At 55.4% G+C, this 16,668-nt stretch overlaps 1 protein-coding gene across 14 annotated transcripts, besides 1 other annotated feature; it reads right to left on the bottom strand.

The window, feature by feature from the left end:
- CHRD (chordin) lies at positions 5,925-16,610 on the bottom strand. Of its 14 annotated transcripts, NM_001304473.2 has the most exons (24): positions 16,198-16,354; positions 15,869-15,972; positions 15,534-15,588; positions 15,300-15,429; positions 15,040-15,168; positions 14,849-14,948; positions 14,644-14,731; positions 14,134-14,275; positions 13,890-14,030; positions 13,726-13,779; positions 13,501-13,648; positions 13,246-13,352; positions 13,022-13,141; positions 11,971-12,127; positions 11,426-11,646; positions 10,505-10,618; positions 9,909-10,172; positions 9,726-9,819; positions 9,557-9,613; positions 9,187-9,290; positions 8,631-8,733; positions 7,923-8,077; positions 7,669-7,771; positions 5,925-7,297 (listed from the first exon to the last, which is right to left on the bottom strand). In NM_001304473.2, the coding sequence occupies exons 11-24, from the start codon at positions 13,601-13,603 to the stop codon at positions 7,242-7,244; spliced, it is 1,758 nt and encodes a 585-aa protein (NP_001291402.1). In that variant the 5' UTR covers positions 13,604-13,648; positions 13,726-13,779; positions 13,890-14,030; positions 14,134-14,275; positions 14,644-14,731; positions 14,849-14,948; positions 15,040-15,168; positions 15,300-15,429; positions 15,534-15,588; positions 15,869-15,972; positions 16,198-16,354; the 3' UTR covers positions 5,925-7,241. The 14 variants fall into 14 exon arrangements, 13 of the variants coding, with proteins under 13 accessions (NP_001291402.1, NP_001291403.1, XP_016862877.1 ...); NM_001304474.2 differs by lacking the exon at positions 15,534-15,588; NM_003741.4 differs by lacking the exon at positions 15,534-15,588 and having other exon boundaries at positions 6,835-7,297; positions 13,726-13,808; positions 16,198-16,610.
- Positions 10,164-10,665: an enhancer, noted in NCBI's record as "H3K4me1 hESC enhancer chr3:184103787-184104288 (GRCh37/hg19 assembly coordinates)". NCBI's record gives its function as "activates a minimal SCP1, AML or CMV promoter by ChIP-STARR-seq in primed H9 embryonic stem cells {active_cell/tissue: H9 hESC(primed)}" and the evidence as "EXISTENCE:reporter gene assay evidence [ECO:0000049][PMID:30033119]".

Here is a 16,668-nt window from a genome sequence, read left to right as displayed (position 1 = left end):
CACTTTGGGAGGCCGAGGCGGTTGGATCACCTGAGGTCGGGAGTTCAAGACCAGCCTGACCAACATGGAGAAACCCCATCTCTACTAAAAATACAAAATTAGCCAGGCATGGTGGCACATTGCCTGCAATCCCAGCTACTTGGGAGGCTGAGGCAGGAGAATCACTTGTACCCGGGAGGCGGAGGTTGTGGTGAGCTGAGATCGCGCCACTGCACCCCAGCCTGGGAAACAAGAGCGAAACTCCGTCTCAAAAAAAAAAAAAAGAGTACCTGACAAAAGAAGCTGCTCAATAAATATTAGTTGAGTGAATACACTTACATGAAGCTTTGTAGTATGGCGGATTTTGCTAAAAATGTCAGGTGATGGGCCGTCCACAGCCTTGTTACTCGTAATGTGTTCCTGCACCAACAGCAGCAGCATTACCTGGCAGCTTGTCGGCAAGGCAGCATCCCAGGCCTCACCCCAGACCTTCTGATCAGCATCTGCATTTCAACAAGACTCCCAAATGATTCACATGTGCATGAATGCTTGAAAAGCACTGGTCTAGGCCATGTGTGCAGTGGCTCACGCCTGAAATCCCAGCATTTTTAGGAGGCTGAGTTGGGAGGATCACTTGACACTAGGAATTCAAGACTAGCCTGGGCAACATAGTGAGACTCCCCATCTCTATTTCAAAAATAAAAATAATACAAAGAAAAAGAAAAACACTGGTCTGTATCACAACAATGCAAACAACTTAAACTTGGATCTTAGACATCCCCATTCTTAAAAGGTTTTTTTCTTATATGCAAGAAATTGGTAACATTGCACTCCAGCCTGGGCAACAGGAGTGAAACTCTGTCTCAAACAAAAAAAAAAAAAAAAAAGAATATGTCTCCACTGCTACCCCTATAGAAGGCAGAAAAGACCACAAAAGGTTCGGGTTTTGAAGGACAAATTCTTGGGGGTTTTTTTTTCCGTTCTTTTTTTCTCCCTAAAGGACAAGTCCTTTCCTTTTTTTATATTAGTGTTGGGGAGAAAGCCCCTGGCTTCCCTCCCTCTTCCCCACCTTCCCTCAGAGTCGGGGGCTGGTCAGGGACCCAGGCCACCATGTTAAAAGCTGCCGGGCCACCAGGAAGACCAGCAGCACCAACCAGCCTTGCCTGTGATCTCCAGGGTGTTCTTACCATAAGTGTGGAAGGTCACAGCCATGGCCACCTGCTCCAGTCTCACAGGCCTCTTTGCCAGGCAGGCTCATGAGACCCGCCAGCTGCTGGGCCGGAAGCACATGTACTTGACCGAGTTGTCTTCCCAAGACCTCAACAGCAGCCCTTCTGCCCCTGCATGGAGAAGTATCCAGTTCAATGCCTGTCAGGCAGCAACCCTTGCACTGGCATCGGCTGCCTCTATCTGTGCCCCCTGCTTGTCCCACTGCCCAAATGAGAGAGTGAGGAGTCTCTGTCCCCACAGTAGGCCTGGCACCTCAGTGGAGCATGACGAACTCCAAAAATGGAGGCTCCAAAAGAGGCTGAGCCAGCCCAGCCAAGGCAGGTGGACAAGAAAAAACTGTGAATGACTCCTCCCAAGAAATGGCTGGGGCCCTGGCCAATCTCTGCTGCTCACGTGAGGAGAGGACAACCTCCAGGCCTGCTCAACACCCATCAGCTGAGAAGCATGGATTCCCCTGGGGGAGCTCTAGCCAGTTTGCAGAAAATTTGCCCGATTCTCTAAGCTAGGGAAGATTTTTTTCAAACTTTTTGTTTGTGTACCTCCCTGGCCATTTTCAATGCAAAGGTCAGATTTCCCTTAAACGCACTCCAGAGCTTTCCTTATTTCTGCAGAAAGAAGTGCACTCCTGCTCCTGAAGCTGTCGCACAAATACCCTATGCTGGGACATCACAGCCACTTCACAGGTGAGGATCAAGGCGCTGCAGAAGGCACTGTAGGGGTAGAACCTGGCGTGGGAGTGGGAGCGGGGCCAAAGCTGGGTAATGAAGTTTTCACTGACTAACACTTAGAAAAATACTGAGTGAATTTTTTTTTTTTTTTTTGAGATGGAGTCTCGCTCTGTCCCCAAGGCTGCAATGGCGCGATCTCGGCTCACTGCAACTTCTGCCTCCAGTGTTCAACTGATTCTCCTATCCCAGCCTCCTAAGTAGCTGGGATTACAGGCGCAAACCACCACACCCGGGTAATTTTTGTATTTTTAGTAGAGATGGGGTTTCACCATGATGGCCAGGCTGGTGTCGAACTCCTGACCTCAGGTGATCCACCTGCCTCAGCCCTGCAAAGTGCTAGTATTACAGGCGTGAGCCACCGCACCCAGCCATCAGTAATTTTGTTTTAAGAGTGGTTGGCTATCCAGGAGTTGGAATAACAGGTGGATTTTTCTTTCCTTCTCACATATTTGTATATTACCATAATTGTTAACAATGATTTAGTTTTATGAAGAGCAAAAATAATTCTGGCAGCTCCCTTTGTACATGAAAACGTATCAAAGCCAAACAATGTTGTAAGCTCCATTCTCAGAGCAGCACAGTCATTCCACAATCTCTAATAAGTCCTCCCCTTTTGTCATCCCTAACAATGTATTTCCAGCATTCCATAATACCCTCTATGTAGGCATTCCATACACACAGGCTTTTTTCATCACACATCATATGTGACTACCTAATATTTGACAAGTGAAACTGTGTCTCTTTCAGCATGCCCAGAGAAATCTTTCTCTGCCTTAATTTTATTACATGATGAGACCTCTCCTTTCTGCCATTTTTGTTGTGTCAGAAGTATTGCCAAAAAAAGGGGTTCTCATCCAGACCGCAAGAGAGGCTTATTGGATCTTGCACACAAAGGAATTCAAGGCAAGTCGCAGAGTGCGGTGAGAAGAGATGGTTTATTGAAAGCTACTGTTTCAGCGTAGAGTGTCTTCAGAAAGCAAGAGGAGGAACGCCTCTTCTAAGGTGTTTTTTGTTTTGTTTTGTTTTTGTTTTTTTGATGAAGTTTCGCTCTCATCGCCCAGGCTGGAGGGCAATGGCCGCAGTCTCGGCTCACTGCAACCTCCGCCTCTCGAGTTCAAGCAATTCTCCTGCCTCAGCCTCCCAAGTAGCTGGGATTACAGGCATGTGCCACCATGCCGGGCTAATTTTTGTATTTTTAGTAGAGACGGGGTTTCGCCATGTCGGCCAGGCTGGTCTCAAACTACTGACCTCAAGTGATCCACCCGCCTCGGCCTCCCAAAGTGCTGGGATTACAGGCATGAGCCACCACACCTGGCCTAAGGTTTTCTTATATAGGTTTCTTATCCATGTAAAAGCTAAGTTATGTCTACATGTGGGGGACTGACAGCATGACATTTATTATGTTGCTGATTTAAAGAAAACTATCCTTGGCATTTTAGTGCGTAAGTACATCAAAGCTTGACTATAACCATCATAAAAGCATACATTGTTATGTGATATGGGGACATCAGGACATTCTGCTGTCATAGGAGTTTGTCTTTGCAGGCATTGTGAAGCTGCTTCCTGAGCTGTAGACATCTTATGACCATGGGTCATGACTGGCAAGGAACGTACCTGCTAGTTTTGTTGTTTTGTTTGTTTCTTTGTTTGCTTGTTTGTTTTGAGACAGAGTCTTGCTCTTGTTGCCCAGGCTTGAGTGCAATGGCGCGATCTCAGCTCACTGCAACATCCGCCTCCTGGGTTCAAGCGATTCTCCTGCCTCAGCCTCCCAAGTAGCTGGGATTATAGGCGCCTGCCACCACGCCTGGCTAATTTTTTGTATTTTTAGTAGAGACGGGGTTTCACCATGTTGGCCAGGCTCCAGGCTGGTCTAGAACTCCTCACTTCAGGTGATCCATCTGTCTCCGCCTCCCAAAGTGCTGGGATTACAGGCGTGAGCCACCATGCCCGGCCTACCTGCTAGTTTTAAGATGGAGTTGACTTTATTTTTTTATTTTTATTTTTTTTGAGATAGAGTTTTGCTCTTGTTGCCCAGGCTGGAGTGCAATGGAGCGATCTCGGCTCACTGCAACCTCTGCCTCCCAGGTTCCAGCGATTCTCCTGCCTCAGCCTCCCGAGTAGCTGGGATTACAGGCACCCGCCACCACACCTGGCTGATTTTTTGTATTTTTAGTAGAGACGGGGTTTCATCATGTTGGCAGGCTGGTCTTGAACTCCTGACCTCAGGTGATCTGCCTGCCTCGGCCCTCCCACTCCCAGGAGGTCCCTGGAACCCCCATCTGTCCCTCTGCCCTGTGGCAATTTCACATATCCATGGCCAAGATTTGAAAACTATTGTTCTTAAGTCACTGCACAGATCCTGCTCTGGTGACATGGACAAAAGTGAACTGACAGCTGCCAGCATACCACCATGCCATAGCTCCAAACTGTTTGCTGTTCATCACCTACCTTAGCACAATCTGGATTTGGTATATTAAAAGTGGGCAGAGTATCACTAGGGAATGCCTAAGAGGTAGTCGCACAAGGAGAACTTGGCAAAGTGGATTACTGCACATGAAGGAGTTTTCTCTTCAAAAAATGTTGTATCAAAACCACCCCATTTCTTCAGCCAAGCAGGTATGTATTCCCTTCTGTCTGTTTTGCTGGAGAAGCTCAGTGGTTGAGTCAAACCCTCTGCCATGTAAAAGGCCTGACTGACCCCAGGGTGAGAGATCAAATTTTAAATACTACAGGTAACTGTTTTGAGACACAGAAATACTAAACCCAGGAAAATGGTCCTCTGCTTGGATTTTGCTGCATTTTTGCAGGGTTTTTGGTTTGGTTTGGTTTTTTGGAAAGGGAAAGGGCTCTCTGACCAATGTGCAGTTGCCTGAAGGGGAATGGATGGGGCATTGAATGGATGGGCATTGAATGGGCATTGAATGGATGGGAAAAATGAATGATATTATTGAGGTCTCTGAACATCAGGGCTTCCAACAAGTCTGAAATGAAGTTCCTCACACACTGGACAGGGCTGGCCCTTCTGTTTCACCATACCACTTCCCTGGGGCTCAGGCAGGGCCTGGAGACTGGCCAGCTTTGGTTGGAACACAGGCTAGGATGGGAACGGTGTTTCAAGGGTTTTTGCCTAAAGAGGACAGGGCTCTGCCTGGACCCATCACCTGCTCATTGGTTCACTCAGCTGACGTGCACTGAGGCCTGCTCTGAATCCCTCCTGGTGCCTGTGGTTCCAGCTCTGTGGAGCTCACTGAGCCATCCTAGAGTGACTCACCTGCCTTATTCCTTCCCCTAGTCTTGTGAGCATCAGTAACAAACTCGGGTTAAATCCAAGGATCAAAATTTCCCTTTCCAACCCTTCTTCCCACCAAAGTTCCACACCAAGGAGGACAACACTGTCAGCACACCATTTCTGGGCCAAATCTCCATCATACCACAACTGGTGCCTCACTCCCACACTTAACCCCGTGCTGAATACTGCTGCTTTTTCATCCCTATCTGGCCCTCACGATCCTCCTATTAACAGCCAGGGCTCTGGCCCAAGTGGTTATCCCCATCCTCATCATCCCTGAATCCTCAGTCCAGCCCCTCCTCTCCCCTAAGCATTCAGCAGCATATCAGTTGCCAAACGCAAGTGAAGCCCATGGCCACTCTCCTCCCTGCGATTCTCCCTGCCTTCATTCCAAACCAGCCCCACAAATCCCACCTCGGGGAGAGTGCCTTTTGCAGCGAATACGTGCCAGGCCCTGAGCTTGTGTAATGCACGTGTTCTGATTGAATCCTGTGAGGGGGATATCATGTGTTTTATAAAAGGGAAATGGGGGTTTGTGAAAGTTAAATAACTCAGCTAGTTAACAGCAGAACTGGAACTCGATGCTTCAATGGGCTAAGACAATAACTTCTTAACCACATACAGCATGCCTAACACTCCATAAGCAAGCTATGATTTCCCTTTCCCCTGCCCTACCAGATCATAAAATCCCAGATTCATTTGACTCCACATTGTTTATATGAAAGATGGATCTGCAGCTACATACATTTGTTAGATTTCTGTTCTGATACCCTCATTTCCTAGAGCTTGTCAAAATGCCTGGGTCTTGATGGTAGGAATGAGGGAGGGGAGAGAGAAGAGGGTAACAGGGCAGGAGGGTCTTGTCTTATTCTCTACATGATTTGGTCTCAAGGTAAGCACAGCCAAAAGCTGGATCAGAGCTGATTCCAATCCACTCTGACCCCAGTTTGCCCCAGAACTGGTCCAGAACACGAGTTTCCAGGAAAAAAACAGAAAAGTGTTTGCCTCACTTTAGACAAAGAAGGTAGAGGCTGGGCTGGGTGTGGTGGCTCATGCCTGTAATCCCAACACTTTGGAAGGCCAAGGCAGGAGGATCACTTGAGGCCAGGAGTTCAAGACCAGCCTGGGCAACATAGCAAGACCCCATTGCTGTGAACGAAGGAGAAGGGAAGGGAAGGGAGAGGGAAGGGAGAGTGAAGGGAAGGGGAGGGGAGGGGAGGGGAGGGGAGGGGAGGGGAGGGGAGGGAAAGAAAGGGAAGGGAAGGGAAGGAGGGAGAGAGGGGCTGGTGACACCTTTGATTCTCTCTCTGGAGCAACTTCAAACATGAAGTCAGCAAACAGGCCAGCGATGTGGGAAACTAAACTTGAGTCAAAATCCTGCTTCTACTTCCCTAAATTCTTGAGTCTCTAGACCATCTCAAGAACCATCCCCAGCCCCTCTGCGGAACCCAGGCATGCCAGCCAACTGCCACGCTATCCTCTGCCTCTCCAGGTCTCTTTCAGCTCCCCAAGTGTCAGAGCTCCTCTCTCTCACCTCCTACTCTCTGCCCCTTCTCCACCAGGCCCCACTCAGGTTCCTGGCCACAAAGAGCCAACCTCATGCCCAAAGACTGAAAAAGAAATGTTTTAATAAATACAAAACTCTCCAATAATGACTCTGCTCAGCTCAGGGGCAGCAGGAGTGGAGTGTCGGGGGCCCTTGGTGCTGAGTGAAGATAAATTAAAAATCCCAACAAGCCAGTGACATTATGTACAGGAGGAAAGGGGTGGGGCTTCCAGGACAGAGGCCGAGGGTGGCAGGGCAGGACTTGGAGTGGCTGTGACCTCGGTCTGGCCCAGCTGCCTCTCCCCCTTGTGGAGCTGTGGTTCCCAGAGGTAGTGGGGGTGGGAGTAGAGGCAGGACAGAGGAGCAAAGGCACTGGGCTTCCCACAGGAGAATGCAAGAAGGTCCTCGATGCCACCCCTTCCCCAGCTCAGGCCCCATCCTCTTGGTCACTTGGCCCTCTGGCTGCTCCCTAAGAGCCTTCGGCTTCTTTCTCCAGCTCTGGATCAGTTCTGGTCTCTGGGGCTGCTGGAGACAGAAGGGAGGGAATGTTGGAGGAGGGGAGAGGGAGTGGAGAGGCACAGAGAGGCATAGAGGGCAGGGCAAAGCATCCCTGCCTTGGTCCCAGAAAGGCCAGTATTTTCTAAACAGGTCAGTGCACACAGCTGGGTGACCTTCATCTCGTTGCTTAATTTCTCTGAGCTTCAGAAATCTCATTTGTAAAGAAAAGGTCATAAATAACAATTCCACCAGGTTGCTGTGAGGGTGGATTGGAATGGCACTTGTGAGGCAGGCTGCACTGTTCCTGCACACAGTGAGTGCTCCCTTCCCTGATCAGGAGTCCCACAGGCAGGTGAGCCCTCCACTCACAGCTGCTGACCCTGGACTCCCTCACTTACGCCGCCGGTGGGCCGTGCAGCGGGAACAGCATCGACTCTCCTTCCCCGAGCCACAGGACAGTGGCAGTGAACAGTCATCCCGCTCACAGTGAGGCACCCCTGCCTGGTACAAGACAGAGCAGACACTGAGTGTCCCCCAGAGGCACTGGGACACAGTGACCTTCAGCTTCTTCAGGGACCTCCCTGGGAAGGTCTCCCTACTCCAGACCAGGCTCCCAGTACCCACCTCACACAAGCCTCTGCTCCCCACTTACCCCACATCTGCAGGTGATACAGCTCATCTCTCCAAAAGGGGGCACTGAGGGGTGCCAGCTCTGACTCTCTGGGAACCACTGCCCAGCAAAACGGCAGCCCCGGGGCCCATCAGCCTGCATGGGGTCCCCCAGCTGGGGGTGGGCCCCCGACCCCACTGTTGAGAGGGAAAGAGAAAGGATCAGCCCAGGAGGACCAACAAGGTTTTATGAGTATTCTCTTTGAATACCCAGCACGTTGCAGTTTCTGGCACTTAGTAGGTGATAAATTTGGATGGGTGGGTGGGCAGATGAATGGATGGATGAAGGGACGGATGGATGGATGGATGGATGGATGGATGGATGGATGGATGGATGCATCAATGGGTGGATGGGTGGATGGATGGAGGGATGGATGGATGCATGGATGGATGCATCAATGGGTGGATGGTTGTATGGGTGGATAGATAGATGAATGGACGGATGGATGGATGGATGGATGGATGGATGGATGGATGGATGGATGGACGGATGGATGGAGCAGGAACCAGAACCCATCATACCCCACTAGTATATCACATTCTTTCCACTGCATTTAGAGTCCTGGCTCCAGGCTAGGCACAGAGCAGTGCTCAGTATAATGCTCAATTAACTGAGCACCCTTCCCCTCACCCAGGACAAAGCCTGCCTCAACCCAAAGGTGAGGCCTCAGTGCTCAGCCACCTCTCTCACCTGGACACTGTTTGCAGCAGTCGGTGGGGTTGACACGCACAGGCTGGGCACAGGCCAGCCGGGGACACTGCACCTTCTCACAGTGCACCTCTCCAGTGCCCCCCTGTAGGGATCCATTGAGCAAGGAGTGTCAGGCAGGGGGCACATAAGCCTCCTGCCCACTCCCTCTCCTATTCCACACCTCAAATGCAGTCTCTCTGTGGCCTTTTACTCAGAGGCCCGGACTGGCTTTATAGACCTAAACTCAGCTCCTCATCAGAACCCTGCAAGGTAGGTGCCATCATATCTGCTTACAGGAGAGGAAAGTGAGGCTCAGGGACAGAAGGTGCCTAGGGTCACTGGCACTAGTTAGCTGGCAGAGCCAGAATCCACACCCAGGTCAGCCCTGTTCATTTTCCCACAGGAAGCCGACTCTCAGAGCGCAAGGGCCTTTTCTCATATCGTTTTGATTCTTGAGCCCTCCTCACCAAGGACGGGCCTTCCTCACCTGGCAGCCCCTCCCCATCTCTGCAGACCCCGCTGGGTTATGGCACCAGAGAAGATTGGGTGGCCATACCTTGCAGGTGCAGACAGCACACTTAATTAAGCCAAAGGGGGGCACAACGGGGTGCCACCGCGTACCCGCTGCCCGCCAGCTCCGGTCACCATCAAAATAGCAGCCTGGTGGGGAACAGGGCCCAGCAGCCATTAGTATGAGCTCATCAGCTGGGCCCACAACCAAGGCTTGAGCCTCAGGCCACCCCCACACGAGCCTAAGCCAAGGGCCCACCTGGGGGCCAGTAACACTAATGAGTCCTGTCAGGCATCACTTGGAATCTGTGCCCCTCAGGCCACCCCCTATATACTCTCCCCTTCTTGTCCCCCTCCTGGTTCAACCTAATGGCTCCTCTGGGGCCTCCCACCCTGCACGCACCCTTCCAGCTCACCCTCTCCTGGGTCCCGGCTCCTTGGCAGCCCTGGCAAGTCTCTGACATCTTGTTTCTCTGTGGAGCCAAAGAAATGGTGAAAGCAGAGAGTGACCACCCTCATTCCCTCCCCAAAGGACCTGTCCGCACTGGGCCAACTCCTCCCTCCACTCCCCTGCGGGGAACTCACCAGGGCAAACAGGGCAGCACTGGTCGGGAGCCTGCACCGGGTGTGGGCAGCTGGGCGGTGGGCACACCACCGGGTCACAGATCACCGTTCGTCTCTGCAGAGAGGAGCAGAGGCATTGACGGGAGTGTCCAGGCCCCTTGCTCCAGATCCCAGGACCCAGTGTGCCCTTCCAGGACCTCCTACCTGGCAGGTGCAGAGTGAGCAGAGCGGGTCGTAGTTGGGCGCCCAGCGAGCCCCGTGGGGGCGCTGCTGCCCCTCGAAGAAGCATGTGTTGGGGTCTCGGGGCCGCCCAGGACCACCAGGTTTGGCGGGCGCTAGGGCCGGGAGACCAGGCACCACAGGCGGCGCAGCAGAGGCTGTATCCGGAGCCCCCAGCGCCCGCACCCCCTCGGCCCCGGCCGCCTCCAGGCGCAGTCCGCCAACCTCACATTGGTTGGCTATGTGCACCTGGGAGGAGAGGCCAACTGAGGCAGCGCTGGGGCTCCCCCTCGCGTCTTTACCAGCGGCAGCTGGCCAGCCAGCAGGAGACACCTCGGCCCCCTGAGCGCTGCAGTGGCCCAGGAGGATGCCATTCGCTCCACAATCATCTCAGCTGCCAGGGATAGGGTGCCGGGCTGCCAGCCTCCTCATGTAGCTCATCCTCCCCACCAGCCGGGGGGGCGCTGTGATACGACCACCCCCAGGACTCAGAGACAGCAAGTGACTAGTGCAATGGCACACAGTGCCCCTCCAACTCTGCACCCTCCCCACTGCCCCCACTGCCCACACTCGCCACCTACCTGCCCTCGGAGCTCCCCTCTGGGGCTACCCTTGGTGGTGATCATCAGGGAGGCCATGCCTTTTGCCAGGTGCCGCAGCAGTTCCGGCTCCAGGTCCTTCACCACACCCTGGGCCTGCACATAGACAGGACAATGGATAGGAATAAGGCACTTTAGGGCTGAGCCTACTGTCCCCAGTTCACAGATGAAGAAACTGAGAGCCAGGGAGGTTAAATAAAGTCTTCATGGTAGCAAAGCCCATTGGCAATAGTGTGGAGCTTGGAAGCCAGGTCTCTCTGACCAAGTCCATGAGAACTCACCCCACTTGAAGGGCTTAGTCCATCCCACCTACCCCCCTGAGGTCCAGGATATTACATACTATCCAAGACACCCCACCAAAAAAAGACTTAGAAAGGAGAATGAATAATAAAAAGCCAGTCAGAGTCATGCCCAGGTCTATCTGACTCCCAAGCCCATGCCAGCTCTTTTTTTTTTTTTTTTTTTTTTTTTTTTTGAGACGGATTTTTGCTCTTTCTGTCCAGGCTGGAGTGCAATGGCGCCATCTCGGCTCACTGCAACCTCCACCTCCCAGGTTCAAGCGATTCTCCTGCCTCAGCCTCTGGAGTAGCTGGGATTATAGGCATGTGCCACCACGCCCAGCTAATTTTGTATTTTTAGTAGAGATGGGGTTTCTCCATGTTGGTCAGGCTAGTCTTGAGCTTCCTACCTCAGGTGATCCACCCACCTGGCCTCCCAAAGTGCTGGGATTACAGGCTTGAGCCACTGCACCCAGCCTACAAATCACTGTTTAATTTATTTTATTTATGCCAGCTCTTCTATACCAGGCTGCCTGCTCTCTGCTTTCCCCAACACAGGCCCACACAGCCCTTCAAGCTAAAAAACAGAAATGTTCCAAGCTGCCGCCTACCATCACATCCTTACCTCTGAGCCATAGAATCCCTTCAGCAGCCGCCGAGGCCCTGGCGTTCCAGGAGGCCCAAGGAGGTGGGCAGTGACAGTGCCTTGTTCTGAGCCACCAAGCCCAGCCAGCAGCACTTCATAGTGCAGGTGACAGTGGGTATCCAAGGAAAGCCAGGCGTGCCCTGCTGCTTGGCTCTTCACAGGGGGTAGCACCAGGGCTCCTGCTAGGGGCACGGGCAGCGCTGGGTCCAGACAGAGGAGAGATGACAGGTGAGAAGGTGGCCTAGGGCAAGCCCTCAAACCCAGCATTCCCAGCTCCCCAGCACACATTCCACGAGCTGGAAGACACTGTCCATAGGTCCAGGGCCTGGAGAGCAGCAAGTTTTAGACCCTTGAACCTCAGCAACAGGAAGAGTCCGCCAGCAGGGCCACCCTATATGTCCCCACCTTCAGATGGCAACCGGAGCTTAGGCACAAAGAAAGACACACCAGGCTCCGGCTGTCTGCCACCATCCCTCAAATGTTCTAGGAAACCAAAGGGCAGACAGACCCCTAAGGACACTCACTGTCATGGCGGGCGCTATGCCCACAGTAGGGCAGGGCAGCCACGTGCCCCCGAAGCTCTCCGTCTGGGAAGTCCTTGGTGCCCACGTTCAGGAAGAGCTCATTCTGCAGCAGCATATGAGCCCCTCGGGCACCCAGCCCAGGGCAGATACCCACGGCCTGGGGGCAGGGGAGGATAGGCCTTCTCAGCTCTCACACGAGTCCAAGGTTCTGAAGTCTTGGACCATTTTGTGCCCCCACTCCACCCACACACACTTCCACACACCAGAAACACAGGATAAGGACCTGGCAGGCCCAGTTTCAAGGCCCTCCCCTGCTGCTTCCTAGCTATGTAACAACCTTCAAGAGTAACTTAACTTCTCCAAGTCTTCACTTCCTCATCTCTCAAATGGATACTGTGAAAGCCAAAAACTATGTAAGGCCACCAATGCAGCACCTAGCACATGGAAAGGCCCTATAAGTAGCAACCATTGCCATTACATTTACTAATATGTGGCCTGTGGCACTGTTCTCCAGGTCCAATGCTCCCATTTGACTGTGAGCTTGCTAAGCACAGGGGCCACATATGATTTGCTTTGTACTCTAGTCCCTAGTCTGGGGCTCACTAAAAATGTCAAATCATGCCGGGCACGGTGGCTCTCGCCTGTAATCCCAGCACTTTGGGAGGCCGAAGTGGGCGGACCATGAGGTCAAGAGATCAAGACCATCCTGGCCAACACGGTGAAACCCCGTCTCTACTAAAAATACAGAAATTAGCTGGGTGTGGTGGTGCACACCTGTGGTCCCAGCTACTTGGGAGGCTGAGGCAGGAGAATCGCTTGAACCCAGGAGGCAGAGGTTGCAGTAAGCCAAGATCACACCACTGCACTCCAGCCTGGTGACAGAGCCAGACTCCATCTCAAAAAAAAAAAAAAAAAAAAGTCAAATGAATAAATGAATGAGTGGGAGAACCCATGAGTGAGTGGATGATAATGAACATCCCTGCTCATCCAACCTGGCTTCCCACAGCCCATGCATTGGGCCCTGGGGTCCAGCTCCACCTGGAGCCCTCACCGTGTGTCCTCCTGGCTGGAGTCCAGCCATGTGGCACAGGACAGTGCGCTGATCCCTCCGCTGAGGCTTGGTCTCCAGTGTCATGGCCACCACCTCACTGCTTGTCCCTACCACTTGCACCTGATGGGCAGGGATGGAGGAGGGCAAAGTGGAGAGGCAGTAAAGGCCTGGGGCCTGCTGCCCACGCCACCCCTCCCCCACCTTCTGCAGCCCCTGGCTCTTACCTGATAGATCAGGGAGCCATTTCCTAGCAGCGTGAGGCTGGCTGAGCCGGCAGCACCCGTCTGGACTGGGATCAGGGCATCAGCCCCACAAAGGACACTTTGCAGGACTACGGAGGGGCAAGACAGGTGAGGCTAGGTTTACCCCATGGCCGCTTACACCCCCAGTCCACAGGATCTCTCCCACACCCACCCTGGCACTTGTCTGTGTCTCTCAGTTGTGCATGCCCGGCGCACCAGGCCCCCCCCCCGCCTCACCGTCGCAGCTCTTCCTGGCAGCAATGTGTCCACTGATGCGCAGCCCTGGCCTGCCTGCCCACTCCAGGGCCATCTGCAGCTCCCCCAGCACCAGCCAGTCCATCTCCTGGACTGTCAGGTTGGGCAGCACCTCAGCAAAGCCTGGTTCCTGGGGACAGAGCAGGGTGTGATGGGCAATAGCAAGAGGCCAAGACAGGTGGCAGCGAGAGCCAGATCCCCACTCACCTGGGCTGAGACATTGGCCTGAAGTTCTCGCAGTAGCTGCCCCTGGTGTAGAATCTGGAGCCTCAAGGGAACCTGGGTTAGTCCTGCAAGGCCGCACATGTGGGCCTTTCTGAGACAGGTGCTCTCCCTAACCTTCTCACGTGTTTTGCCCCCATCCCACTTACCCCCACTCCTGGGTTCCAGCAGCCCTCGGAAGAGCAGCAAAAAATGCAAGGAGTCCTCTGTGTCACTGAGAGTGAGCAGGGTGATGCCCCCTACGCCCTGCTGTGGGGGGCCTTCTAGAGTCAGGATGGCACTGAAGGTCTCTGGGGAAGGGACGATGATGAGAGCCCGTCAGAAACCCTCCCCCCCTTTCCTGGGTGATAGAGAAGACTCAGAACTTCACGCCCGGGGCTCTTTGCTCCCTACCTGCAGCCAGGGCCCGGTGCCGGATGAGAGGCCCCCAGACCTCCCCTGAAGGGTGAGTGAGTGTCACAAGTGCCACATGCAGCTGTTCTGCCCTAAGGAGCCGCAGAGACAACCGAGGCACTGCCCGCCACACCCCACAGACCTGGAGCAGAGAGACAAGAAGGCCCTACGCTCAGACACTGTGCAGGCTAGGCCAATTAGGATGCCCAGGCAGGGCTTATGAAAAAGGAACATGGAAAGGAACCTCCAGGGTGCCCTAGGAAGCTTAAGAAAGAACGCTGGAGCCAGATGCTTGGGTTCCAATCCTGGCTGCACCACTTACTAGCTGTGTGACCTTGAACAAATCACATTATCCTACTGAGCCTCAGTTCCCCCTTCTGTAAAATGGGCATCATAATGTCAGTGCCTTCCTCCCACTGGGCTGTGGTGAGGACCACGGGAGGCAATGCAGAGCATGCTCTCGGCACAGTGCCCAGACTGGGCAAGTGCTCATAAATGGCATCATCTCACCAGGCCATCTTGGGTGGGGGCTGCAGGGTGCTCAAACAGGACACTGCCATTGGAGTCTGAGAAGCGGATCCTGGTAGGGCGGTCCAGCCTGGGAATGAGAGGTCGGGTGAGGCCGGACTGAGCCAAAAGCAGCCCCTCCCAGCTCTCCCAGTTTCCCTCCCGGGCCCCGGCAGCTGACCCCTCCTTGCTCCTTCCCCTTTCTCACCGCCTGTAGGAGATAGAGAAGCGGAGGCTAGAGCGCAGCAGCGAGACTCGGGCTCGTGCCACCGCCTGCGACCTCGGCCCTGTCAGCAGCGCCACGAAGTCTGGGACGGGAGGAAGATGGCCTGAGCACTGTCAAACGCCGCTTTGGTGGCCCAGCCTCAACCACAACCCCGCTGTTCGCCAGCCCCCTACCCGTGTGGCCGTCACCACGGGCCCGCTCCTCAGCGCCTGGCTCCCCGCGGTCGCTATAACTGCGATGCTCCGGGTCCCGCGGATACTCGAAGGACAGGCCGCTCGGCTGCCGCTCCGAACTGCTGCGCTCTGCGGGCGGGGGGGTAAGAACACGGGCTTCAGCTGGCCATGGGAAAGGCCAGTCCGACGCCCCATCCAAGTGGCCCGGGACCTAGTATCGTGGCCCTGCCTCCCTCCCCGCAGGGCGGAGCAAGACTTACCCTGGGGGCAGGTCTGGCAGCAGTGTCCCGGCAGCTGGCGCGGCTGCCCACAGGCCGGGGTTGGGCACTCTGGTTTGATGTTCTTGCAGCTGACCCTGCCAGGGCCCCTGGTACGGCGACCCCACTGAGGCTGCTCCCGGAAAAGGCGGGAAACCCAAGTGAGTGCAAGATGCCAACTGATGAGACCCCCCCAGGCAAGGATGTCCCGCAGAGTCAGCCAGCTCTGCCACTTACAAGCTGCGTGACCCTAGACAAGCTACTTCATCTCTCTGGGCCTCAAGGTCCCTGTCTGGAAAATGGGGATAATAATACTCTCTATCTAGCAAGGCTGCCATGAGAGTTAGATGAGCAGGGAACGAAACGGAGTTGGCACAGAGCCTCACACAGAGTGGGCGATCAGTAACAGCACCTAAGAATTGGAGGGGCTGATTCCCCTTCCTCCACCAGAAAAATATCCCCAACATCTGCCGACTGGGCTCCTTCTCAGCAGCTCCGAGTCCACTCCGACGCCCGCGCGACCCGGCGCTCCCCACCCGCCAGGGCCCGGGCCGGCCGCGGGGTGCACTCACCGCCTCGCAGGCGCACAGCACGCAGCGCATCACCCCGAATGGCTCCCCTAGGTCCGGGTGCCACGTCTCGTCCAAGGCATAGACCTTCCCGCCGAAGGTGCAGCCTGCGGGGACGGGCTTGGCTGGAGGCCGCTGCCCAGCTCGCGCCGTGTGCCGCCCCGGGGGCTGCCCGCGGGTCCCGGGTCCCAGGCACCGCGCCCTTCTGCCCCCGCCCACCCTCCGGGCCGCCCGCCGCGCCGAGCCACCTGCGCCCCGCGCCCCCTCCGGGCTGGCGCTGACTCGCCCCGAGCCCGACTCCCCGCCCGCGCCTCCCCCGGGCGCCCACCTACCTGCCGCTCCCCGAACGGGCAGCGGCTCCTTCTCAGAACGGATGGGCAGCACGGGGGGCTCTGGGCCGGCGCCGCGGGCCGGCCGGGAGCCGAGCAGCAGCAGCCCGAGGAGCAGCAGCGGGGCCGGCGGGGCCGGGAGGCTCGGCATGACGCGAACGGGACAGCTGGGGAGGAGGGAGGGAGGAGGGCGCGGGAGCGGGCGGAGGGAGGGAGGCGGGAGTGCGGAGGGCGGAGGGCCGGGCCGGGGGCGGTGCGGCGGGAGGGGGCCGGGGCCGGGGCCGGGGCCGGGGCAGTGCCGCGAGGGGCTCGTCGGGCGGCCGCAGAGTCGGCGCCGGGCCGGGCGGGGCGGGAGGAGCGGCCGGGAGGAGCGCGGGCGGGCGGGCGCTGACCCGGGCCGTACGCGGCTCTACTGCCCCGGGCGCCGGCTCCGGCCCGTTTTATGCCCCGCGCCCGACGCCCCGGCCGGGGGCC

Source organism: Homo sapiens, chromosome 3, assembly GCF_000001405.40.
Source record: "Homo sapiens chromosome 3, GRCh38.p14 Primary Assembly".
NCBI classification, from domain to species: domain Eukaryota; kingdom Metazoa; phylum Chordata; class Mammalia; order Primates; family Hominidae; genus Homo; species Homo sapiens.
Note: the sequence above shows the minus strand (reverse complement) of the source record. Positions and strands in the feature narration are given on the sequence as shown.